The sequence below is a fragment of the Homo sapiens genome, chromosome 19 (assembly GCF_000001405.40).
Source record: "Homo sapiens chromosome 19, GRCh38.p14 Primary Assembly".
In the NCBI taxonomy this organism is placed as follows: Eukaryota; Metazoa; Chordata; class Mammalia; order Primates; family Hominidae; genus Homo; species Homo sapiens.
Window position 1 is genome coordinate 20,618,866 of NC_000019.10, and position 26,654 is coordinate 20,645,519.

Sequence of the window (26,654 nt, forward strand, 5' to 3'; positions counted from 1 at the left end):
AAGTCAAAATCTTGTTTTTATTTCTTGTTAGTCATCTGGCCATTTCCAAAAGCATGATAATTAAGCCAAGTCATTGAAAATATGCAGTTTTGATTAATTTTATCCCATTTGGAATGTTTTCTTTAATTGTTTTATCATGTTAATCTAAAAGAAACTGTCTACATAATTATGCTTTCAAGAATTATTCATATTGTTTACAGTTTAATCATTTACTACAGTATAGTAAAATCATTTACAATAGAATTATGAATTCATTGTTTTTAAGGTTTTTCAAATATGAAAACAGTTAGGTATGATTTGATGTAAGTTCAACTCTAGGACATTACCCACTGGTCTTCATGGTATTTCTGTAATGAATAGTATAAAACTAGGTCGCCAGAATGGTGCAGACATGCTGATTGAATTAGAATGAGTTCAGCCTTGTTGGTAGACTATTGGTATCCCAGAGGCTGATCATTCACTACAGCTTACTAAATGTAGTTCCATAATGCCAGTGAGCACTTTTACCCAGGTTACCTTTTTCCTTTCATTAATGTGGACCTGTTGTGGTCTCCTGTTTTTCTTAAGCTATCCCAGGTGAGAGGTGATTATTTCTTGCATGAATGAGATTCCCTTTTTTTCCCCTCTGCCATAGGATCCTCTTATTCTCCCTACTGGAAGCAACATGCAGAAGGCAGGAATGATGACAATAAACAAATACGTTTCCTGCCATGTGGCCACCATAAGCAGCTTACAACATGGCTCACCTAGAAGTCACTTACTTTCAGGCCAGCAGGGGTGTTTTCTATGATGTGTCTCTTTCTCTTAAAAGCACTTCTGATTAAGTTTAGCACAATCAGGATAATCTCCATTTTGGTAAACACGAAGTCAACAGATGAGTAACGTAATTTCATGAGTGATGTCCCACCACAGTCACACACTTTTTTACACTCGAGAGTATTACACAGCAGGTGCGCAACAGACTGGGAATCCAGGGTATTATCTTAAAATGTTGCCTACCCACCTGAATAAACTTTTAAAATAGTCTTTCTACTGCTTTTGTTATCTACATAAACAAAAATGTCATCTGCAAATAATAACTACTTTCCAGTTTTATTCATTACAAATATTAACTAACATCTTTTTTTCTGGCTTAAATTATTATTCCTTTATGTGTCATTTTATACATTCACACACACATAGAACAATAAAAATGTATCCAATTATTCAATTTTGGTTAAATTTTTATTAAAATAAGCGTTAAAAATAATTTTTTGAGTGTGTTTGAAGAGGGCTTTTATTGTTGTACTCAAGAGTGTTATTTCTGGAGACAAAGTTGCCTGTGCTTTAATACACGGATTCTGGGGAGAATCCGAGCCATAAGCCATAAAATTTTATATTAATAAATTCCATACAAAGCAGAAAGTATACATTTGCTTTCAGCATATTCAAGGTGTTTAGTTTTCCATTAATCACCTAAAAACTTATTTTGTTCCAATAATTGCGTTTTCTTCTGAAAATATGTACAAATGCATATTTACCAAACACTCATTTCATAATTTTCTTACACCTAAGGTTTATCTTCAGAGGAATATGTGTATATTTCACTCTATGAAAATTAAAAGTCTTTACGTTTGCAGGCAGAGTGACCACATGTTCAAAGAAACTATATAACAAATATTTATTAATAATTTTTCAGGACTCAGAAATGTAATTTTTTTTCCTTTGAGGAGTCTCATCACTCTGTCACCCAGGCTGGAGTGCAGCAGCACAATCTTGGCTCACTGCAATCTCCACCTCCCAAGTTCAAGTGATTCTCCTACCTCAGCCTCCAGGTGTGCGCCACCATGACTGGCTAATTTTTCTATTTTTAGTAGAGACAGGGTTTCACCACATTGGCGAGGCTGGTCTTGAACTCCTGAGCTCAAGCAACACACCTGCCTCAGCCTCCGAAATTGCTGGGATAATAGGCATGAGGCACTGCACATGGCCGTATTTTTTCTTTTTTTTTTTGTGACGGAGTCTTGCTCTGTTGCCCAGGCTGGAGTGCAGTGGCACGATCTCGGCTCACTGCAACCTCTGCCTCCTGGGTTACACCATTCTCCCGCCTCAGCCTCTGGAGTAGCTGGGACTACAGGCGCCCACCACCACGCCCAGCTAATTTATTTTTAGTAGAGACAGGGTTTCAACGTGTTAGCCAGGATGGTCTTGATCTCCTGACCTCATGATCCACCTGCCTGGGCCTCCCAAAGTGCTGGGATTACAGGTGTAAGCCACTGTCCTGGCTTTTTTCTTTCTTTTTGAGATGGAGTGTCCGTCTGTCACCCAGGCTGGAGTGCAGTGGTGCTATCTCAGCTCACTGAAACCTCCACCTCCCAGGTTCAAGCCATTCTCCTGCCTCAGCTTCCCGAGTAGCTAGGAATACGGGTGCACCACCATGCCCAACTAATTTTTGTTGTTTTAGTAGAGAGTTTCACAATGTTGGTCAGGCTGGTCTTGAACTCCTGACCTCATGATCTGCCCGACGTCGCCTACCAAAGTGCTGGGATTACAGGCATGAGCCACTGCGTCCAGCCCATATTCTATTTATATTTCTGTATAATTTTTATTATGACCATAAAAATCACCCTGTAGTCAATTACAATTTAATTGGACATTTAAAAGTAACTAAAAGTGTATAATTACACTGTTTGGATTAGAAAGGATAAATGCTAGAGGTGACAGATACCTTATTTACCCTAATGTAATTACTACATATTGTATGCCTGAATCAAAATATTCTCTATAAGACATATATACACATACTATATACTCACAGATAGTAATAATAAATTAAGAAAAAAGATTAAAAATTTAACTAACGGGAACAATATTCTTCATTTGCAGTTTACTGGCAAAGTGATTACTAGTGATGACATTCCACTACATACCAAATAGTATACTTCTTCCATCTTTTGCTTACACCATTTGAGTAAGGCCGGATAGGTTAAAGTTAGTGGCATAATAATGCTTCATTAAATGCACAATAGTTTTAAGATGGTAAAAAATAAAATAAAATTAGGCTGGACATATTGGCTCACACCTATAATCCCAACACTTTGAGAGCCTGAGGTGGGTGGATCGCTTGAGCTCAGGAGTTTGAGACTAGCCTGACCAATATGGGGAAACCCCATGTCTATTAAAAATATAAAAATTAGCCAGGCGTGGTGTCACGCACCTGTAGTCCCCACTACTCGGGAGGCTGAGGCAGGAGAATTTCTTGAACTTGGGAGGTGGAGGTTGCAGTCATTGTGCTGAGACTGCACTGCTGCCCTCCAGCCTGGGTGACAGAGCAAGACTCCATCTCAAAAGAAAAGTTAAGTAAGTAAATAAAATATAAGTTAAGTTCACACATCATCTAACAATTTTTAAATATATTGCATTTTATTACGTAACAGTAAAATTAGTAAAATAATTGATATACTTTAATTTATAATTTCTTTCTCTCAGTATAATGTAGAAAAGTATTACTCTGAACACCTACCTTAAACATTACTTAATATAGGTTAACTACAATGAGCCTCTCCACTTATATTTTCGTCATGCATCTTACATTTTAATGTCCTTACTGTTTTATAGAAAAGGTCATAAAGAATGCCCAACTCATAAAGAATCTCTAATATCTCTGATGCAGCAACAATTGATCACATACTTTCACGTGAATATAATAAAGTAACAGCATAATTTGAAAGCTGTATTACATCATTCACTTTTCAAAAAAATTGTTTTCAAGGAAACAAATATACTTTCAATGTAAATACAAAGCTTCAAAAAATCTCCTTTTAAAGTTATATACTAATTTATACAAACTTATATACAAATTTAACAACTTTAGTTGTGAATTCATTTATATACTCAACACTCTTATTTAATGTAATGTCTGAAGTGTCAGTGCCTTAGTTATTCTGTAAATTCTGATATTTACATACAATTAATTTTGAATTAAATATTTTTTCATGTTTACTGCATCTGCAAAAATATATTTTAGTATAAACTCTGCTGTTTTCTAAGCTGTAGTTTTTTTTTTTTAAAGTGTTTCCAAATTCATTACATTTGCAGGACCCTTCTCCAATATAAGTTCTCTGATGTTGAGCAAAGCTTGAGCAACTGCTTCAGGATTTTCCTCTAGTACAAAATGTGTGTAATAAACCTCCTGTATATTTGTAATGGTTGTCTTCAGAATAAATACTCTTCTTCACTTTAAAGGCTTATATTTTCTGAAAGATTTTTTGACAGTAATTGCACTTTTAATGCTTTCATTAACTATGAACCTTCTTATGTTGAGTAAGATGTGAGTAGGCATTAATGGGTTTTCCATATTCTTTATATTTGTACAATTTTTCTCAAGGATAATAGCTTTCCTGCAAAATAAGATGTACACATTGATTAAAGGTTTTGCCACATTCTTCATGCTTGTAGGAATTTTGCCAGTATGAATTATCTTACTATCAAATGTGGCAACCATATAAAGGCTGTTTCACATTTTATATATTTCTAGGGTTTCACACTAGTATAAATTTTTTATGTATAGAAAGGATGGAAGTGTTGAAAAAAGCACTGTCACATCTTTCAGGTTTGTAGAGTTCCTCTTCAGAATGAATTATCACCATGTCTCTTAATAGTAAGAACTTGTGGCCAGGCATGGTGGCTCATGCCTGTAATTGCAACACTTTAGGAGGCTGAGGTGGGTGGATCATGTGAGGTCAGGGGTTGGATACCAGCCTGACAAACATGGTGTAACCTTGTCTCTACTAAAAATACAAAAGTTAGCTGGGCATGGGGGTGGGCACCTGTAATCCCCCTTACTTGGGAGGTTGAGGCAGGAGAATGGATTGAACCCAGAAGGCGGAGGTTGCAGTGAGCCGAGACTGTGCTATTGCACACCAGACTGGGTGACAAGAGTTGAAACTCCATCTCAAAAAAAAAAAAAAAAAGACAGAACTTGTTATATGCTTTGCCACATTCTTCACACTTGTAGGGTTTCTTTCCAGTATGAATTATGTGTAATAAAGGTTGAGAAGTTCCTTAAAAAATCTGTCACATTCTTTATATTTGTAGAGTTTATATTTCATATCAATTCTTAGTTAGAAATTGAGGGCTGGTTAAAAGATTTTCCCCATTCATCACATTCACATGGTTTCTCTCCAGTATGAATTATCTTATGTGCAGTAAGGTGTGAGGATAGGTGAAAAGCTTTACCACATTATTCACATCTGTAGGGTTTCTCTCCAGTATGAAATCTCTTATGTGTAGTAAGTTTAGAGGAGTGCTTAAAGGCTTTGCCACATTCTTCACATCTGTAGGGTTTTTTTCCAGTATGAATTTTCTTATGTGTAGTAAGGTTAGAGAAATGCTTAAAAGCTTTGTCACATTCTTCACATTTGTAGAATTTCTCTCCAGTATGAATTATCTTATGTGTAGTAAGGTGTGAGGACCGCTTGAAGGCTTTGCCACATTCTTCACATTTGTAGAATTTCTCTCCAGTATGATTCTCTCATGTGTAGTAAGGATTGAGGACTGGTTGAAGGCTTTGCCACATTCTTCACATTTGTAGGGTCTCTCTCCAGTATGAATTTTCTTATGTGTAGTAAGGTTAGAGGAGCACTTAAAAGCTTTGCCACATTCTTCACATTTGTAGAATTTCTCTCCAGTATGAATTCTCCTATGTGTAGTAAGGATTGAGGACTGGTTGAAGGCTTTGCCACATTCTTCACATTTGTAGGGTCTCTCTCCAGTATGAATTTTCTTATGTGTAGTAAGGTTAGAGGAGTACTTAAAAGCTTTGCCACATTCTTCACATTTGTAGGGTTTCTCTCCAGTATGAATTATCTTATGCGTAGTAAGGTCTGAAGACCGCTTGAAGGCTTTGCCACATTCTTCACATTTGTAGGGTTTCTCTCCAGTATGAATTCTCTTATGTGTAGTAAGGGTAGAGGAGTACTTAAAGGCTTTGCCACATTCTTCACATTTGTAGGGTTTGTCTTCAGTATGAATTCTTTTATGTGTAGTAAGGGTATAGGAGTACTTAAAGGCTTTGTCACATTCTTCACATTTGTAGGGTTTTTCTCCAGTATGAATTATCTTATGTGTAGTAAGGGTTGAGGACCGGTTGAAGGCTTTGCCACATTCTTCACATTTGTAGGGTTTCTTTTCCGTATGAATTATCTCATGTTTACTAAGGGTTGAGGATGACATAAAGGCTTTGCCACATTTATCACACTTGTAGGGTTTCTCTCCAGTATGATTTCTCTTATGTGTAGTAAGAGTGGAGGAGTGCTTAAAGGCTTTGCCACATTCTTCACATTTGTAGGGTTTCTCTCCAGTATGAATTTTCTTATGTCTAGTAAGGCTACAAGAGTGGTTAAAGGCTTTGCCACATTCTTCACATTTGTAGGGTTTCCCTCCAGTATGAATTTTCTTATGTGTAGTAAGAGTTGAGAACTGCTTAAAAGCTTTGCCACATTCTATATATTTGAAAGGTTTTTTCCCAGTATGTCCTCTCTTTTGTCCGTTTGAATTTGGAAATTGATGAAGGACTTTCACATATTTATCACATTGACATATTTTTCTTGGGGTAGTTGTCAAACATTGGTTAAGTTCATTATAACCTTCTTTGTGCACCTTACACTCATCCACACTTATACATCCTTTTTTTAACTGTAAATTGTCATGTTCACATTTTTCATATCTTCTCAGTACCACTTTTTGGAAAGAATCTTTCATGCTCTGCTCTGGCCAAAGGTCTTGGGCAAAATGAGAACACATTACTGAAAGAAACAATAAAAACACATTACTTCAATTGGTAGACTCAGATAAATATAAATATATATATGCAGTTTGTATAGTTTTATACAAACTACATAAGCAAGATGACACAGGAAAATACCACAAGCTGTAATTTCTTCCTGGACATATGAATTTAACAAAAACATACTGATCAAAATACATTTGTAAAAAACTTATAATAAGTTGTGAAGGGCCCCAGGTGAGCACAATGCAAACGGCCAAATAGAAGAAATAGAAAAGTCTGTTACTTATACACAACACAGCTGGTTTTGCTCTCCAGTATAACATTGTGCCTTTAAAAGTAAATTGTTGACTGGCTGGGGTGACACACGCCTGTAGTCCCAGCATGTTGGGAGGCTGACGTGGGTGGATCAGAAGGTCAGGAGTTCAAGACCATCTTGGCAAAGATGATGAAATTCAATCTGTACTAAAATTACAAAAAATTAGCTGGGTGTGGCGATGGGGCACCTGTAATCCCAGCTACTCAGAAGGCTGAGGCAGAGAACTGCTTGAACCTGGGAGGTGGAGGTTACAGTGAGCTGAGATTCCCAGAATCTCTAGTTAAGACAATTGATTTCAGACTATGCCAGGACACAGCTACATTATAAAGATTGTAACAGGTAGCATTTTGTTAATGTAAAAATCTCAAAGATTACAATAAATACAAAATAGTAGAGCAACGTGATCCCATCAAAAAGTTATAAAATTTTTAAAGCAACCATAAAATGTATATGAGGTAATTTAAAAAATTCCCAATAAGTTGTACAGGTCAAGCTTAGTGGCTCATTCCTGGAATCCCAACACACTAGGGGGCCAAGGTGGGAAAACCACATTAGGTGAGAATTTGAGACCAGCCTGGCCAACATGGTGAAACCCTGTATCTACTAAAAATACAAAAACTAGCTGGGCATGGTGGCATGTGCCTGTAATCCCAGCTACTTGGGAGGCTGACACACAACACAAGAATTGCTTGAACCTGGGAGGGGACAGTTGCAGTGAGTGAATATTGTACCACTGCACTTCAGACTGGATGACAGAGCAAGACTGTCTCAAAAATAAAATAGGCTGGGCGCAATGGCTCATGCCTGTAATCGCAGCAACTTAGGAGGCCACCTTGGCCTCCTAATTTGAGGTCAGGAGTCCAAAATTAGCCTGGCCAACATGGTAAAAACCCATCTCTGCTAAAAATACAAAAAATTAGCTGGAATGCTGGCAGCCACCTGTAACCCCAGCTACTTGGGAGACAGAGGCCGGAGAATTGCTTGAACTCGGGAGGCAGAGGTAGCTATGAGCTGAGATGGCGCCACTGCACTCCAGAGCCTGGGTGACAGAAAAAGACTCCATCTCAGAAAAACTAACTAAATAAATAAATTTGAATAACATTAGGTAAGTGAAACAAACAAGTACTGAAGATAAAAATGAGGATAATAATAAGAAATATTGAAATAGCAAAAAAACAAAAATTGTGGATATAAAAAATGCAAAAAACAATTGAAAAATTTCTTAAAAGGAAAAATGATGTAAACATGAAAAAGCTGAAGAAACAAACTAGGATACACACAAAGATATTTGTAACAAACACACATACAAGCAAACCTTCAAAAATCATAGATAAGAAGAGAATTTTAGGAGCTGTAATGTAGGCAGATGTAATGATGAAGAATTTTTGTATTCAACTGAAGTTTATTTTTTACCACATTCAAATATATTGTTGGATCTTTTAGAGGTTTTATGTAATCTCCCAAAGTACCACTAAGAAAATATTTGTATGGATACACAAAAGAAAATTTAAAAAATCCTGGAAAAATACCAATACAAAAAGCAAAAAACCACGAAAACCACAGAAAGAAAAGGAAAGACAAAGATATAAGAATCAAATAAAACAAATAATAAAATAACATTAGTAAGTTTTTCTCTTTCAGAAAACCATTTAAATATATATATAATTATCTTTCCAATCAAGAGATATACTTTCAATAAACAGGTTTATTAAAAAATTTTAAAAATCAAGAGTCAACTTGCCTTTCTACAGGAGTCAGTTGAGATCTACTGACAAAAAAAGACTGAAAGTGGCAAGACAGAAGTAGAATTTCATGTAAATATATTTTTAAATTTTATTATTATTACACTTTAAGTTTTAGGGTACATGTGCACAACGTGCAGGTTTGTTACATATGTATACTTGTGCCATGTTGGTGTGTTGCACCCATTAACTCGTCATTTAGCATTAGGTGTATCTCCCAATGCTATCCCTCCCCCTGCCCCTGACGCCACAACAGTCCCCGGTGTGTGATGTTTCCCTTCCTGTGTCCATGTATTCTCATTGTTCAATTCCCACCTATTAGTGAGAACATGCGGTGTTTGGTTTTTTGTCCTTGCGATAGTTTGCTGAGAATGATGGTTTCCAGTTTCATCCATGTCCCTACAAAGGACATGAACTCATCATTTTTTATGGCTGCATAGTATTCCATGGTGTGTATGTGCCACATTTTCCTAATCCAGTCTATCGTTGTTGGACATTTAGGTTGGTTCCAAGTCTTTGCTATTGTGAATAGTGCTGCAATAAACATACATGTCCATGTGTCTTTATAGCAGCATGATTTATAATCCTTTGGGTATATACCCAGTAATGGGATGGCTGGATCAAATGGTATTTCTAGTTCTAGATCCCTGAGGAATCACCACACTGACTTCCACAATGGTTGAACTAGTTTACAGTCCCACCAACAGTGTAAAAGTGTTCCTATTTCTCCACATCCTCTCCAGCACCTGTTGTTTCCTGACTTTTTAATGATTGCCATTCTAACTGGTGTGAGATGGTATCTCATTGTGGTTTTGATTTGCATTTCTCTGATGGCCAGTAATTATCAGCATTTTTTCATCTGTTTTTTTGGCTGCATAAATGTCTTCTTTTGAGAAGTGTCTGTTCATATCCTTCGCCCATCAAAAAGATGGGGCTGTTTGTTTTTTTCTTGTAAACTTGTCTGAGTTCATTGTAGATTCTGGATATTTGCCCTTTGTCAGATGAGCAGGTTGCAAAAATTTTCTCCCATTCTGTAGGTTGCCTGTTCACTCTGATGGTGGTTTCTTTTGCTGTGCAGAACCTCTTTAGTTTAATTAGATCCCATTTGTCAATTTTGGCTTTCGTTGCCATTGCTTTTGGTGTTTTAGACATGAAGCCCTTGCCCATGCCTATGTCCTGAATGGTACTGCCTAGGTTTTCTTCTAGGGTTTTTATGGTTTTAGGTCTAACATTTAAGTCTTTAATCCATCTTGAATTAATTTTTGTATAAGGTGTAAGGAACGGATCCAGTTTCACCTTTCTACATATGGCTAGCCAGTTTTCCCAGCACCATTTATTAAATAGGGAATCCTTTCCCCATTGCTTGTTTTTGTCAGGTTTGTCAAAGGTCAGATAGTTGTAGGTAAGCGGCATTATTTCTGAGGGCTCTGTTCTGTTCCATTGGTCTATATCTCTGGTTTGGTACCAGTACCATGCTGTTTTGGTTACTGTAGCCTTGTAGTATAGTTTGAAGTCAGGTAGTGTGATGCCTCCAGCTTTATTCTTTTGGCTTAGGATTGACTTGGGGATGCGGGCTCTTTTTGGTTTCATATGAACTTTAAAGTAGTTTTTTCCAATTCTGTGAAGAAAGTCATCGGTAGCTTGATGGGGATGGCATTGAATCTATAAATTACCCTGGGCTGTATGGCTATTTTCACGATATTGATTCTTCCTATTCATGAGCATGGAATGTTCTTCCATTTGTTTGTATCCTCTTTTATTTCACTGAGCAGTGGTTTGTAGTCCTCCTTGAAGAGGTCCTTCACATCCCTTGTAAGGTGGATTCCTAGGTATTTTATTCTCTTTGATGCAATTGTGAATGGGAGTTTACTCATGATTTGGCTCTCTGTCTGTTATTGGTATATAAGAATGCTTGTGATTTTTGTACATTGATTTTGTATCCTGAGACTTTGCTGAAGTTGCTTATCAGCTTAAGGAGATTTTGGGCTGAGACAATGGGGTTTTCTAGATATACAATCATGTCATCTGCAAACAGGGACAATTTGACTTCCTCTTTTCCTAATTGAATACACTTTATTTCCTTCTCCTGCCTGATTGCCCTGGCCAGAACTTCCAACACTATGTTGAATAGGAGTGGTGAGAGAGGGCATCCCTGTCTTGTGCCAGTTTTCAAAGGACATGCTTCCAGTTTTTGCCCGTTCAGTATGATATTGGCTGTGGGTTTGTCATAGATAGCTCTTATTATTTTGAGATAAGACCCATCAATACCTAATTTATTGAGAGTTTTTAGTATGAAGTGTTGTTGAATTTTGTGAAAGGCCTTTTCTGTATCTATTGAGATAATCATGTGGTTTTTGTCTTTGGTTCTGTTTATATGCTGGAGTATGTTTATTGATTTGCGTATGTCGAACCAGCCTTGCATCCCAGGGATGAAGCCCATTTGATCATGGTGGATAAGCTTTTTTATGTGCTGCTGGATTCGGTTTGCCAGTATTTTATTGAGGATTTTTGCATCGATGTTCATCAAGGATATTGGTCGAAAATTCTCTTTTTTGGTTGGGTCTCTGCCAGGCTTTGGTATCAGGATGATGCTGGCCTCACAAAATGAGTTAGGGAGGATTCCCTCTTTTTCTATTGGTTGGAATAGTTTCAGAAGGAATGGTACCAGCTCCTCTTTGTACCTCTGGTAGAATTCGGCTGTGAATCCATCTGGTCCTGAACTTTTTTTGATTGGTAAGCTATTGATTATTGCCTCAATTTCAGCTCCTATTATTGGTCTATTCAGAGATTCAGCTTCTTCCTGGTTTAGTCTTGGGAGGATGTATGTGTCGAGGAATTTATCCATTTCTTCTAGATTTTCTAGTTTATTTGCATAGAGGTGTTTATAGTATTCTCTGATGGTAGTTTGTATTTCTGTGGGATCGGTGGTGATATCCCCTTTATCATTTTTTATTGTGTCTATTTGATTCTTCTCTCTTTTCTTCTTTATTAGTCTTGCTAGTGGTCTATCAATTTTGTTGATCTTTTCGAAAAACCAGCTTCTGGATTCATTGATTTTTTTGAAGGGTTTTTTGTGTCTCTATTTCCTTCAGTTCTGCTCTGATCTTAGTTATTTCTTGTCTTCTGCTAGCTTTTGAATGTTTGCTCTTGCCTCTCTAGTTAATTGTGGTGTTAGGGTGTCAATTTTAGATCTTTCCTGCTTTCTCTTGTGGGCATTTAGTGCTATAAATTTCCCTCTACACACTGCTTTGAATGTGTCCCAGAGATTCTGGTATGTTGTGTCTTTGTTCTCGTTGGTTTCAAAGAACATCTTTATTTCTGCCTTCATTTCATTATTTACCCAGTAGTCATTCAGGAGCAGGTTGTTCAGTTTCCATGTAGTTGAGTGGTTTTGAGTGAGTTTCTTAATCCTGAGTTCTAGTTTGACTGCACTGTGGTCTGAGAGACAGTTTGTTATAATTTCTGTTCTTTTACATTTGCTGAGGAGTGCTTTACTTCCAACTATGTGGTCAATTTTGAAGTAGGTGTGGTGTGGTGCTGAAAATAATGTATATTCTGTTGATTTGGGGTGGAGAGTTCTATAAATGTCTATTAGGTCCTCTTGGTGCAGAGCTGAGTTCAATTCCTGGGTATCCTTGTTAACTTTCTGTCTCGTTGATCTGTCTAACTTTCTGTCTAACGTTGACAGTGCAGTGTTAAAGTCTCCCATTATTATTGTGTGGGAGTCTAAGTCTCTTTGTAGGTCACTAAGAACTTGCTTTATGAATCTGGGTGCTCCTGTATTGGGTGCATATATATTTAGGATAGTTAGCTCTTCTTGTTGAATTGATCCCTTTACCATTATGTAATGGCCTTCTTTGTCTCTTTTGATCTTTGTTGGTTTAAAGTCTGTTTTATCAGAGACTAGGATTGCAACCCCTGCCTTTTTTTTTGTTTTCCATTTGCTTGGTAGATCTTCATCCATCCCTTTATTTTGAGCCTATGTGTGTCCCTGCACGTGAGATGGGTTTCCTGAATACAGCACACTGATGGGTCTTGACTCTTTATCCAATTTGCCAGTCTGTGTCTTTTAATTGGAGCATTTAGCCCATTTACATTTAAAGTTAATATTGTTATGTGTGAATTTGATCCTGTCATTATGATGTTAGCTGGTTATTTTGCTCGTTAGTTCATGCAGTTTCTTCCTAGTCTCAATGGTCTTTACATTTTGGCATGATTTTGCAGCGGCTGGTACCGGTTGCTCCTTTCCATGTTTAGTGCTTCCTTCAGGAGCTCCTTTAGGGCAGACTTGGTGGTGACAAAATCTCTCAGCATTTGCTTGTCTGTAAAGTATTTTATTTCTCCTTCACTTATGCAGCTTAGTTTGGCTGGATATGAAATTCCGGGTTGAAAATTCTTTTCTTTAAAAATGTTGAATATTGATCCTCACTCTCTTCTGGCTTGTAGAGTTTCTGCCAAGAGATCAGCTGTTAGTCTGCTGGGCTTCCCTTTGTGGATAACCCGAGCTTTCTCTCTGGCTGCTCTTAACATTTTTTCCTTCATTTCAACTTTGGTGAATCTGACAATTATGTGTCTTGGAATTCCTCTTCTCGAGGAGTATCTTTGTGGCGTTCTCTGTATTTCCTGATTTGAATGTTGGTCTGCCTTGCTAGATTGGGGAAGTTCTCCTGGATAATATCCTGCAGAATGCTTTCCAACTTGGTTCCATTCTCCCCGTCACTTTTAGATACACCAATCAGATGTAGATTTGGTCTTTTCACATAGTCCCATATTTCTTGGAGGCTTTGTTCGTTTCTTTTTATTCTTTTTTCTCTAAACTTCTCTTCTCGCTTCATTTCATTCATTTCATTTTCCATCGCTGATACCCTTTCTTCCAGTTGATCGCATCGGCTACAGAGGCTTCTGCATTCGTCACATAGCTCTCGTGCCTTGGTTTTCAGCTCCATCAGGTCCTTTAAGAACTTCTCTGCATTGGTTATTCTAGTTATCTATTCGTCTAATTTTTTTTCAAAGCCTTTAACTTCTTTGCCATTAGTTCGAATTTCCTCCTGTAGCTTGGAATAGTTTGATCATCTGAAGCCTTCTCTCAACTCGTCAAAGTCATTCTCTGTCCAGCTTTGTTCTGTTCCTGGTGAGGAGCTGCGTTCCTTTGGAGGAAGAGAGGCGCTCGGATTTTTAGAGTTTCCAGTTTTTCTGCTCTGTTTTTTTCCCATCTTTGTGGTTTTATCTACCTTTGGTCTTTGATGATGGTGATGTACAGATGGGTTTTTGGTGTGGATGTCCTTTCTCTTTGTTAGTTTTCCTTCTAACAGACAGGACCCTCAGCTGCAGGTCTGTTGAAGTTTGCTGGAGGTCCACTCCAGACACTGTTTGCCTGGGTATCAGCAGCGGTGGCTGCAGAACAGCGGATTTTGCTGAACCGCAGATACTGCTGCCTGATCGTTCCTCTGGAAGTTTTGTCTCAGAGGAGTACCCGGCCGTGTCAGGTGTCAGTCCACCCCTACTGGGGGGTGCCTCCCAGTTAGGCTACTTGGGGGTCAGGGACCCACTTGAGAAGGCAGTCTGCCCATTCTCAGATCTCAAGCTGCATGCTGGGAGAACCACTACTCTCTTCAAAGCTGTCAGAGAGGGACATTTAAGTCTGCAGAGGTTACTGCTGTCTTTTTGTTTGTCTGTGCCCTGCCCCCAGAGGTGGAGCCTAAGAGGCAGGCAGGCCTCCTTGAGCTGTGGTGGGCTCCACCCAGTTTGAGCTTCCCGGCTGCTTTGTTTACCTAATCAAACAACTAACTCGGCAATGGTGGGCGCCCCTCGCCCAGCCTCGCTGCTGCCTTGCAGTTTGATCTCGGGCTGCTGTGCTAGCAATGAGTGAGACTCCATTGGCGTAGGACCCTCTGAGCTGGGTGAGGGATATAATATCCTGGTGTGCCGTTTTTTAAGCCCGTTGGAAAAGCGCAGTATTAGGGTGGGAGTGACCAAATTTTCCAGTTGCCATCTGTCACCCTTTTCTTTGACTAGGAAAGGGAATTCCCTGACCCCTTGCACTTCCTGGGTGAGGCGATGCCTCGCCCTGCTTTGGCTCGTGCACAGTGCGCTGCACCCACCATCCTGCGCCTACTGTCTGGCACTCCCCAGTGAGATGAACCCAGTACCCCAGTTGGAAATGCACAAATCACCCATCTTCTATATCGCTCACGTTGGGAGCTGTTGACCAGAGCTGTTCCTATTCGGCCATCTTGGCTCCTCCCCCCTCATGTAAATATTATCAAAACAAGAGGAGAAGGGGTCAAAATAATGTTACACAAGCTACAAGTTAAGTTAAAAACTGTCATACTTTATAAAGTGTATTTAAGTCAAAACTTCAAAAAGACAAAGAAGGACATTAGATTCATTCACTGGGAACCTATTACAAATTTGTATATACATGTGTGTATTTATGTGTGTGTGTCTCATATTGGGGTTTCAGCTATATAAAGCAAATACTAACAAAACTGAATAAACACAAAGAGAGCAATACAATTATAGTAGGATATTTCAATACTCCACTTTCTGTAATAAAACAAGAGAGAATATTAGTAAGGAAACAGAAGACTAGAAGGCAGTAAAAAAACAATTATTTCTAATGAAGGTATAGAGAACACTCCTCGACAACATCAGGATACACAGCCTTCTCATTACCTCATACAACTTTCTTCTTTATAGACCACCTGTTAGGCCAAAAACAAAGCCTTAACACATTTTTTAAAACTGAAATTTTATAGATCACTTTCTATGACAAAAATGGAATTAGAGTATAAAACAATAATATAAATAATTGATAAATTTAAAAATATTTAGAAATGATACAACACAGTATTAAGCATGCACTTGTTGAAATAACTGGCTGGGTGCGGTGGCTCAGGCCTGTAATCCCAGCACTTTGGGAGGCTGAGGTGGGTGAATTTAACTCCATCTCAAAAACAAACAATCGAAAAAGGAGTAATATTGTGAAGATGTCTATACTGTTCAATTTAATCTACAGAATTAATGCACCATTTTTCAAATTTCTCATTGCACTTTTGAATAAAAACAGCAAATCCAAAAGTATATGGAATCTAAAGAGTTAATAAAGTACTCAATAATCTTCAAGGAATAATGTTGGAGGCATTACAATTTCTGATTTCTAAACACATCAAAAAGCTACAGAATTAAAACAATTTGGTATGAGTATAAAAGTGAAAAAGTAGAACAATAAAACAGAATGCAGCACATATGTTAGCTTTCACATAATTATTGCAGCATTGTTACTGAAAGCCAACAGGTTAAAACAATACAAATTTCTGTCATCAAATCATTCAGTAGGTAGAAAAATACTGGAATCTCATTCAGTTTTCAAATAGCAGAAAATAGTCTAACTATTAAGATAAATATTGATGACATTATGCAAAATAAAATAAGCCAGCCAGAAAAAGACAGAGATTATATGAGATATGTAAAGCAGTTATACTCCTAGAAACAGAAAACAGAGTGGTGTTTGAAAAGTGCCACGAAATTGGATGAATTGGTAGTTGTTTAATGTGTAGTGAGATTTAGCTTTGCAAGATAAAAACATTCTAGTGATGTTGCATAACAATGTCTATATAATTAATATGACCAAACTGAATATTTAGAAATATATACTTGTCACTCTAACTCTCAGGCAAAACTGCAGTGGCATTATCTCAGCTCACTGCAACCTCCGCCTCCTGGGTTTAAGTGATTCCTCTGCCTCAGCCTTCTCAGTAGCTGGAATTACAGGTGATCACCACCACGCCTGGCTAATTTTTTGTATTTTAGTAGAGACAGGGTTTCACCATGTTGGCCAGGATGGTCTCAATCTTCTGACACCGTGATCCACCCACCTCGGCCTTTGAAAGTGACGGGATTACAGGCATAAGCCACCGCGCCCAGCCTAGAAAATTTTATTGTTAATTTTGTTATGTGTTTTTGACACATAACGCATAAGTAAAAATAAACAATAATACCTAAAAGAGATACAGAGTAATTATTGTTTTTAAATTATCTTCAAATCCAAAAATGTTTCTCTGGCACAAAATTAATATAGATTCAAAAATAAATAGACGCTGAAATTGGGAGAGATTTTATGACTACTCACCTAGACAGGATTAAAAAAACTGTTACAGGCCAGGCGAAGTGGCTCATGCCTGTAATCCCAGCACTTTGGGAGGCCGAGGCAGGCAGACCACCTGAGGTCAGGAGTTTGAGACCAACCTGACCAAAATGGTGAAACCCTGTCTCTACTAAAAGTACAAAATTAGCCGGGTGTGGTGGCACATTCCTGTAATCCCAGCTACTCAGGAGGCTGAGGTAGGAGAATGGCATGAACCTAGAAGTTGGAGGTTTCAGTGAGCTGAGATCCCACCATTGTACTGCAGCCTGCATAACAAGAGTGAAATTCCCTCTCAAAAAAACCAAAACCAAAACCAAAACCAAAAACCTGTTACACCATACCTACAAAACAAATATACAAGTGACACAAAGCTACAGGGATAATATTTATACAGGCAAAGAAACACAGAAACAATTATATTGGCAATAGATACATGGCTTTTTCATATTTAATTTTGCTCTTCACTGTCTTAAATTGTACAGTTAAATATTGTTACATACAATTATAAACTAAAAAATATATTGTTATATACAATTATAATATAAACTAAAAAATCAACACATAATTAAATGATGTGATGTGACATTCCCAAAAATATATAACACAAAATATTAAATTACAAAAAAATTAAAACATGGGATGTAAAACAAGTAGATCAATGTATTCATGAAAGGACTCTTAAAATATAAGGTAAAGTAATACAGAGGTTACTTGAAGATTTAAAAAAAAAAAGCTGAGAACTTCCCAAATTTTGATGTAACAACAACAAAAACTTCTAACCAGTAATACTCGATTCAAAATTATTTTACTTCAAAAAGAATATAAAAATAAAGACTTTCCAAAATAAAAGTTGAGACTGTTCATCACCATTGGCACAGTCCTACAAGATATAATATACAGGGTTGTGCTCCCTGGCTCACGCCTGTAATCCCAACACTTTGGGAGGCCAAGGTGGGTGGATTGTCTGAGGTCAGGAGTCCAAGACCAGCCTGAATAACATGGTGAAACACCGTTTGTACTAAAAGTGCAAAAATTATTTGGGCATGGTGGCACATTCCTGTTGTCCCAGCTACTGAGGAGGACAAGGCAGGAGAATTTCTTGAATCAAGGAGGTGGCGACTGTAATGAGCCAAAATCATGCCACGGTACTCCAGCCTGTGACAGAGAAAGACTCCATCTCAAAAAAAAAAAAAAAAAAAAGGCCCAGTGCAATGGTGCCCACCACACTCCATCCTGGGCCATAGAGTGAGACTCAATCTCAAAAAACAAAACAAAACAAAACAAAAAACAAAATCGAAATGATTATTCATAAAACCTTTAAAGTTCTTTTATAGAATATAAAAAACAATATGTAAATGTGCATAAATCGGCTGGGCGCAGTGGCTCATGCCTGTAAGCCCAGTGCTTTGGAAGGCCAAGGGGGGAATCACAAGGCCAGGACTTCGAGACCAGCCTGGCCAACATGGTGAAACCCTGTCTCTACTAAAAATACAAAAATTAGCCGGGCATAGTGGTGCACACCTGTAATCCCAGCTACACGGGAGGCTGAGGCAGGAGAATCACTTGTACCTGGGAGATGGAGGCTGCAGTGAGCCAAGATTGTGCCATTGCATTCCTGCCTGGACAACAGAGTGACACTCTGTCTCAAAAAAAAAAAAAAAATTCTGCCTAAATTTGTTAATATACCATATAAAATAATTTTAATATCAATAAAAAACTGGAAAATGTAGAGACATAGTTTTTGTATTAAATTGAAGTTGTTATAAAATTAAAACATATTGTTTTAACTTTAAGATGTATGTAATCTCCAGCTTTCAAGATGATTACAAAGATAATATTTATAGAAAGTGTGCAAAAGAAAATAAAAAATAATGCATGCCAGTACAAAATTAAATAAAAATTAAGAAAGTAAAACAGGAAATGAGAAAAATAAAACTACTAGAAACACACAAAACAATAATAACGTAACTGGAAATAACAACTTCATTTCTTTAAGCAATCATTTTAAATATAAATTAATTAAACTACTTAATAAAATAAAATGTAATCTTAGGACTTTGGAAGGCCAACGTAGGCTGATCACTTGATCCCAGGAGTTCAAGACCAGCCTGGGCAACATGGCAAAACTCTGTCTCTACAAAAAATACAAAAAAGCTATTTGGGTGTGATGGCACATACTAGTAACCCAGCTACTTGAGAGGCTAAAATGAGAGGATAATCTGAGTTTGGGAGGTCTGGATAGCAGTGAGACATGCAAATCAGCCTGGTTGACAGAGTGAGGCCCTATTTCAAAAATAAATGAGGCCAGGCGTGGTGGCTCATGCCTGTAATCCCAGCACTTTGGGAGGCCGAAATGGGCAGATCATCTGAAGTCAGGAGTTCAAGACCAGCCTGGCCAACACGGTGAAACCCTGTCTCTACTAAAAATATAAAAAAATTAGCTGGGCATGGTGGCGGGCACCTGTAATCCCAGCTACTCTGGAGGCTGAGGCAGGAGAATTGCTTAAACCCAGGAGGTGGAGGCTGCAGTGAACTGAGATTGCACCACTGCACTGCAGCCTGGGCAACAAGAGCAAAACTGCATGTCTAAATAAATAAATAAATAAATAAATAAATAAAATTATATAGAGAAAAAGAAATAGAAAGCCTGAGTGGTTTTTTTAAAAAGCAATCAGTATGCTGCCTATAAGAGACTCATTTTAGCATTCAGTCAAATAGGCTGAAGTAACAGAATGGAAAAACGTATATTCCATGAAAATAGTAACCACAATTGAGTGGGGTAGTCATAATTAGACATAACATGCTTTAAGTCATGTACTACTATGAGACAAAGACTGATATTATATTATGACAAAGTTAGTTGATGTAGCAGAAATCTATAACTATAATATTTATCTTTCTATATGTATATGTGTATATAACATCAGGGCTCCAAAATACATAAAGCAAATATTGACAAAAGTGAAGGAAGACATACATAGCAACATAATCATTGTAGACATCAAGACCCCATTTGCAGTAAATGGAAAATTCAGAAAAAAAATAAGAAACAGGAAACTTAGAAAACATTATAGACTATGTTATTTATTTTGCAAATAGAGGAATAATTGAGAGTACGTTATTTATAACAAAAAGGGGTATATTTGGCTCACAGTTTGGCAGACTGTATAAGAAGTGTGTGTCAACAACTGCTTCTGGTGAAGATCTCAGGAAACTTACAATCATGGTGAAAAATAAAGAGTAACTGGATGTATTATATGGTAAGAGACAGAGCAAGTGTGAGGTGAAGGAGCCAGGTTCTTTTAAGGAACCTACTCTCATTTGAATCAATAGAGCATAAACTTTTTGGTTACCAAGAAAATGTACCAGCCATTCATGAGAAATTTGCCCCTGTGACCCAAACATGTCCCACCAGGTCCTACATCCAACATTAAGGATTTATACTGCAGCATGAGGTTTGGAGAACATGGATATCCAAACCATATTATAGACCAACTAGGCTTCACAGATGCATACAAAACTTTCCAGTCAAAACCAAGATAATACAAAATATTCTTATTTGCATCTGGTGTATTCTGTTAGGACACATACCAAGTTTTATTAAATTCAAAAATACTGATTGGGTGAAATGGCTGTTGCCTACAATCCTAACACTTTGGGAGATCAAGGTAAGAGGATCCATTGGTGCCAAAAGTTTAAGACCAGCCTGGGCAACGTAGTCAGATCCGAACACTACAAACAAACCAACCATTAAACAGACATCTAGTGCGTATCTGTAGTCCTAGCTACTCAGAAAACTGAGGTAAAAGGATCACTTGAGCCCAGGAGGCTGAGGCTACAGAGAGCCAAAATTATGCCACTGCACTTCACACGAGGTGACAGTAAAATCTTGCCTCAAAACAACAAAAACAATCATTTAAAAAAGACTAAAATTACACACTGTGTGTTTTCTAATAAAAACTGAATGAAACTAGGAATTAAAAGCAAAAGTCAAACTGGCAAATTCAAAACTGTGTATATGAAACACACTCTTCAACATATTCTTGCTCAGGGGTCAAAAAATTTCATTTTTCACAAAATGTCAATAAAATCTAGAGTTAAAAGCTACAGAACATAAACAATGTGATACTGACACAAAGATAAACTGATGAAAGAACAGAATGGAGAGCTCAGAAATGAACCCTTCTGTATATGATGAAATGATCTTCCACAAAGTTGCCATGAGTAAAAAATGGAGAAAAATAATCTCTTCAAAAAATGATGTTGAAAAGTGAATATCAACACCGATAAAATAAAGTTGGATTATTTCCTTGAATGTTACAAAAATATATTTTTAATAAAATATTATTTAAAATATTTTAATTTTTTAATATTAAATTCAATTATTTAAATAATTAAATTATTAATTTTAATTATTAAAATTATTAATTTAATTATTAAAAATAGTTTAATAAAATAACTAACAAATCTTTTAGGAAAAAATACGGGAAAAAGACATGACACTGGTTTGGCACAATTTTCTTAGATACAAAATTAAATGCCTGAGCAACAAATGAAACAGAAAAGTTTACACTAGACTTCAAAATTTCTGCATATTAGAAACAATTCAAGAGTAACAACATCCCTTAGAAAATGGGTAAAACATTTGCATATTACATGTGACAGAAATTAATATTCAAAATATATAAACAACCCTTAAAACTAAACAATGATGAATAACTTAATTTAGAAATGGACAAATGAAATTTTTATTAGAAAAGTACACAAATGAGAAAAAGCATTTGAAAGGACACAGAAAATTACTAGTTTATAGAGAAATGAAAAAAAAAAACACAATGACAAACAAAATCACCTCACACACATTAGAATGGCCACTATAAATTTTTTTAAAAACACCAAATCTGTTGATGATGCAATAAAAATGAAACCTAAGTTGAATGTTGGTGGATAACAAAGGTGCAGTCATTATTTTAAAAAGTTATAAATGTTTCTCATTTATAAATCTATATCCAAAATACGTAAAAAAAGCCAGGCACAGTGGCTCAAGCCCGTAATCCTAGCAATTTGGGAGGCCAAGGTAGGGGCAGATCACCTGAGGCCAGGAGTTTGAGACCAGGCTGTCCCTGTCTCTACTAAAAATACAAAAAACTAGCTGGGCATGGTCGTGGGCGCCTAAAATCCCAGTTACTTGGGAGGCTGAAGCAGGAGAATCGCTTGAACCCAGAAGGCAGAGATTGCAGTTAGACGAGACCACACCACTGCACTCTAGCGTGGGTGACAGAGTGAGACTCCATCTCAAAAAAAAAAAAAAAAAGCAACACAGGACCTGGAAGACATATTTGAAAATCTATCTTTATTATACCAGTATTCAAAAAAGCCAAAAGGCTGAAGCAACCCAGATGTCTCTTGATTTAAAAATACGTCAAAAAATATAACATATACATAAAATGGAATATTATTCCACCTTAAATAAAACAATCTTGTCACATTTTAAGATAAACATTGAGAATATTATGTCACTTGAATAATCCAGTAACAAAATTATGGATACTGTACGATTCCACTTATATGAGATACCTTAAGTAGTCAAAATCATAAAAATAGAAAGTGGAAATTTTGTCTGTCAAGGGCTGGAGAGAGGGTAAAATTAGCAGTTGTTATTTCATGGGTATTGAGTTTTAGTTTTGCAAGATGTAAAATTTCTAGGAGTCTTTTGCATAACAATGTGAATATACTTAACATGCCTGAAATGAACAGCTTGTTTATTTTGAGACAGGGTCTCACTCTGTCACCCAAGCTGGTGTGTAGTGGCACAATTTTGACTCCAGCTCAATCTCCCATGTAGCTGGGACCACAGCTGCACACCACGATGCCTGACTCTTATTAATTTTTTTTTTTATAGAAAGGGGTCTCCATATGTTCCCCAGGCTGGTCTCAAACTTCTGGGCTCCAGGAATCCTCCTGTCTTGGCCTCCCAAAATCCTGGGATTACAGAAGAGAGCCACAACCATGCCTGGCCCTGAAATATACACTTCAATAAATTTAAGATGGTAAATGTTATGTTACGTGTTTTTAAAACAATGTTTAAAAAAAAAAACTGAAAAAAATCCAGAATTATTAATCTTTTTGAAAATTACCTTCAAATCACAAAACTGTTTCTCTCACAAAAGGAAATATATATTCATCATTAAACCCATGTTGAAAATAAGACTATCTTCATGACTACTCACTTAGACAAGATAAAACTACCATCAAAAATCAGCTAAGAATATAAGATAAGCCATAACTAAAACTGGGGTCATATTTATAGATAAACACACACATACATATGTAATCTGATTGTGATAGACACGTGCAATTTATCTCTTAAGCCTCAAATGGACTTAAAGTGTACAAACAGAATTGCAAATTCTCTAAAATTATAATACATAAGTAAAACCAATAGGCACAATAAACTGATGTTAAGAAACCTACACTGAGACCAGGCGCAGTGGCTCATGACTATAATTGCAGCACTTTGGAAGGCCAAGGTGGGCAGATCACAAGGTCAGAAGTTTGAGATTAGCCTGAACAATATGGTGAAACACCATCTCGAATAATAATGCAAGAATTGGCCGGGGGTGGTGGCGTGCCTGTAGTCCCAGCTATTCCGGAGGCTGAGGCAGAAGAATGGCTTGAACTTGGAAGGCGGAGGTTGCAGTGAGCTGAGATCGCGCCAGTGCACTTTAGCCTGAGCAACATGGCGAAACTTCCTCTCAAAACAACAACAACAGCAGCAACAACAAACAAAAAAACTACACTGAAGAAACATGCTAATACAGAACTTCAAACAATAAGACAAATGTTTACTCATAAAATCTGGTGTAACACATGGAAGTATCATTACGAAAATTTGTCAGGCCAGGCGCGGTGGCTCATGCCTGTAGTCTCGCACTTTGGGAGGCTGAGGCGGGCGGATCACCTGAGGTCAGGTCAACCAGTCTGTCAACATGATGAAACCCCATCTCTACTAAAAATACAAAAATTACCAGGCATAGTGGCACATGCCTGTAATCCCAGCTACTTGGGAGGATGAGGCATGAGAACTGCTTGAACCCGGAAGGTGAAGGTTGCAGTGAGCCAAGATCGCACCACTGCACTCCAGTCTGGATGAGAGAGGGTAACTCCTTCTCAAAAAAAAAAAAAAAAAATTTGTTGAAGTAACTGCAATCTTTAACTAGTATTATGTACTCATCATATACAGGTATTTTGAATCATTGGCATGCACTGTGTAGCAGTAAAATTTTGAGAATATGCAGTATAATTATAAATAGATTCTAATGAGAAACTTAATAAATTAGCATTTAAAAGAAACTGGAGTTTCTTTTTATGTTTTAAATATATGCTATTCTTACACAAAACGAAACTGCTGTATTCTAACTTTAGAAGCAAAGAATAGCCTTACATTGTTAAACACAGAAAAAAATATATATATATTTTGGAGAATAGGGTTAGACCCTCTGATATGTAAAACAAATATTAGGAAATAAACTCATTATTTATATACAGGGTGAAGAAAGTAGATGAAAATTCCATAATTTTATAACTACTTATAACTAGTAACTATGTTTATATTTAGTAACTATTTTCATAAATATGGAGTGCTTACTAATTATCTAATTTACTTTCAGCATACCATGCAAATTCTAGCATATTATCCTAAATAACTGAATCTAAAATTACAAATTTGAAATAGAATATAGAAAGAAAAAAGGTATAAGGAGAGTGACATCAGTAAGATGAAAATAATAAAAGTGCTCTATTTTCATATCCCCTTATAGCAAAAAAAGTCAGCCATCCCTGACCAAAAATGACTTTATGAGACAACCAGGCATTATGGTTCACATCTGTAATGACAGCTACATGGTACATTACTGTTGGAGAGAAATGCTTCAGGCCAGGATTTTGAGACCAGCCTTGGTTATGTAGCAAGACGTCATCTCCAAAATAAGTGCCTCTAAGAGAGATGTGAGATCCAGGGATGCAGTTGTGAAACCCTATTAAAGCTGAAGTTCGAGACGTGTTCTATTCAGAAGGCAGGCCCTCATTCAGGTGGGAAATTACAGGACCCCTGTTCTTGGCTACAGACCAGGATAGGGTTCACCCAACTTGGTCCCACTGAGAATTCTGAACTTACTCTGTAGCCACCACAAACTCCTCCCAAGCCAGAGTCTGGCAGAGGTCCTGCTATTCCAGAGACCTGGAGGAAGGCATCTATTTACAGCCATGTAGGCAGGCCTGCATACCTTGGCCTTTACCATGGTCCCTGAAACAGTTCACTGACTCAGTTTCCGTTACACGAGCCACAGTTCATGGTCAGTCCTGCCTATATAGAAACCCACACAGTTACCTGAGGAAATGCTCTCTGGTACTCACTGAAAGCCACACTCATCCACATCCTGATTTAAGGCCCAGCATCTGCAGACCTGACTGCAAAAACATGCCCTAGTGTCTGCCCTACAGAGCAAAGTCCCGAAGGATATGCAGTCTGTCCAAAAATAAAATGGAAATTACAACTACCCAAGCCCCTGTAACAAGCCAACTGAAGATGAAACCTAATGGAGACCCAGCAGCCTTGTGACCAAGCTACAACCCCTCTTCACTACAAATTCAGAGGGCATCTCATCACCCTAAGGGCCCAATAAAAGAAAATCTTTACAATCTAAAATCAGTTTATGAAAACTTGAAGAGGTGTCTGCTCCATCAAATTCAAACACCAATACAAAACTATATTGTGCCCATTTTCAATGCTTCTATTTTAATGTAGCACTGGAAGTATGGGCAGAAGAATTAGTCAAAGAAATAAATAAATCCATTGAAATTAAAAAATAAGTAATCTTATATTTAAAAAACCATAAACAGTACATTAAAACCTCTCTAAACTAATAAATACACTCAGTAAATTAGCAAAATATAAAATTAACATACAAGTATATCTATGGTTTCATACACTTAAACTATCTGACAAAATAGAGGAAGAAAATTTTATTGACTATACCTTAAATAATAAATTTCTGAGGAAAATATTAACCAAGGAGGTAAATCTTTACAATAAAAAAAGGAAAAGTTAGAAAAGATACAAATAAATTTTAAAATATTTTGTCTATGAATTGAAAACATGAATATTATTGAAGTGCCATATTATCCAAAGTAATCTATAGATTCAATAAACTTCCTATTAAAATTGCAGTGGTACTATTTTCACAATAATGGAAAATACAATTCAAAAATTTACATGAAACTAAAATAAACTTTGAATAGCCAAAGCAATCATGAGGAAAATAACAAAGAGGAAGGATGTCATAATTTCAAACTATATATTTCAAGCCTAGATAGTAATAAAAACAGAATGGACTGTGCAGAAAAATGAACAAAAAAAAATTCAACAGAAACTATTACTCTCAGACATTTCAGATCTGATGCAAAGAGAACTTTGAGAGTAATTTTAGTTTCTCAAAATCATGCAGACATTTGTGCGTCCCAAAAATTATGGAAAAGCAGCCACACTGTGCAGTCTCTTATATGTCATGAAGAGGACTTTGGCTCTCACTGTGAACTTGAAGGAAGCTCACTGAAAGAAAAGGAAAATCCTTAGAGAATTTAAAAGCATAAGACAGAAGATGCCCCTTTGTAAGCAAAATT

General features: G+C 37.0%; 1 protein-coding gene across 2 annotated transcripts in view; it reads right to left on the bottom strand.

The window, feature by feature from the left end:
- Nucleotides 1–1,073: 1,073 nt before the first annotated feature.
- ZNF626 (zinc finger protein 626) overlaps nt 1,074–26,654 on the bottom strand; it is a 41,633-nt gene continuing 16,052 nt past the window's right edge. The window contains exon 4 of one of the 2 annotated variants that reach the window (NM_001076675.3): nt 1,074–6,785. In NM_001076675.3, coding sequence (NP_001070143.1) covers nt 5,425–6,785 — 1,361 coding nt within the window. In that variant the 3' untranslated portion in view covers nt 1,074–5,424. Of the gene's footprint in view, nt 6,786–25,833; nt 26,584–26,654 lie in introns of those variants that run through there. The other variant, NM_145297.4, reaches the window with a different exon arrangement.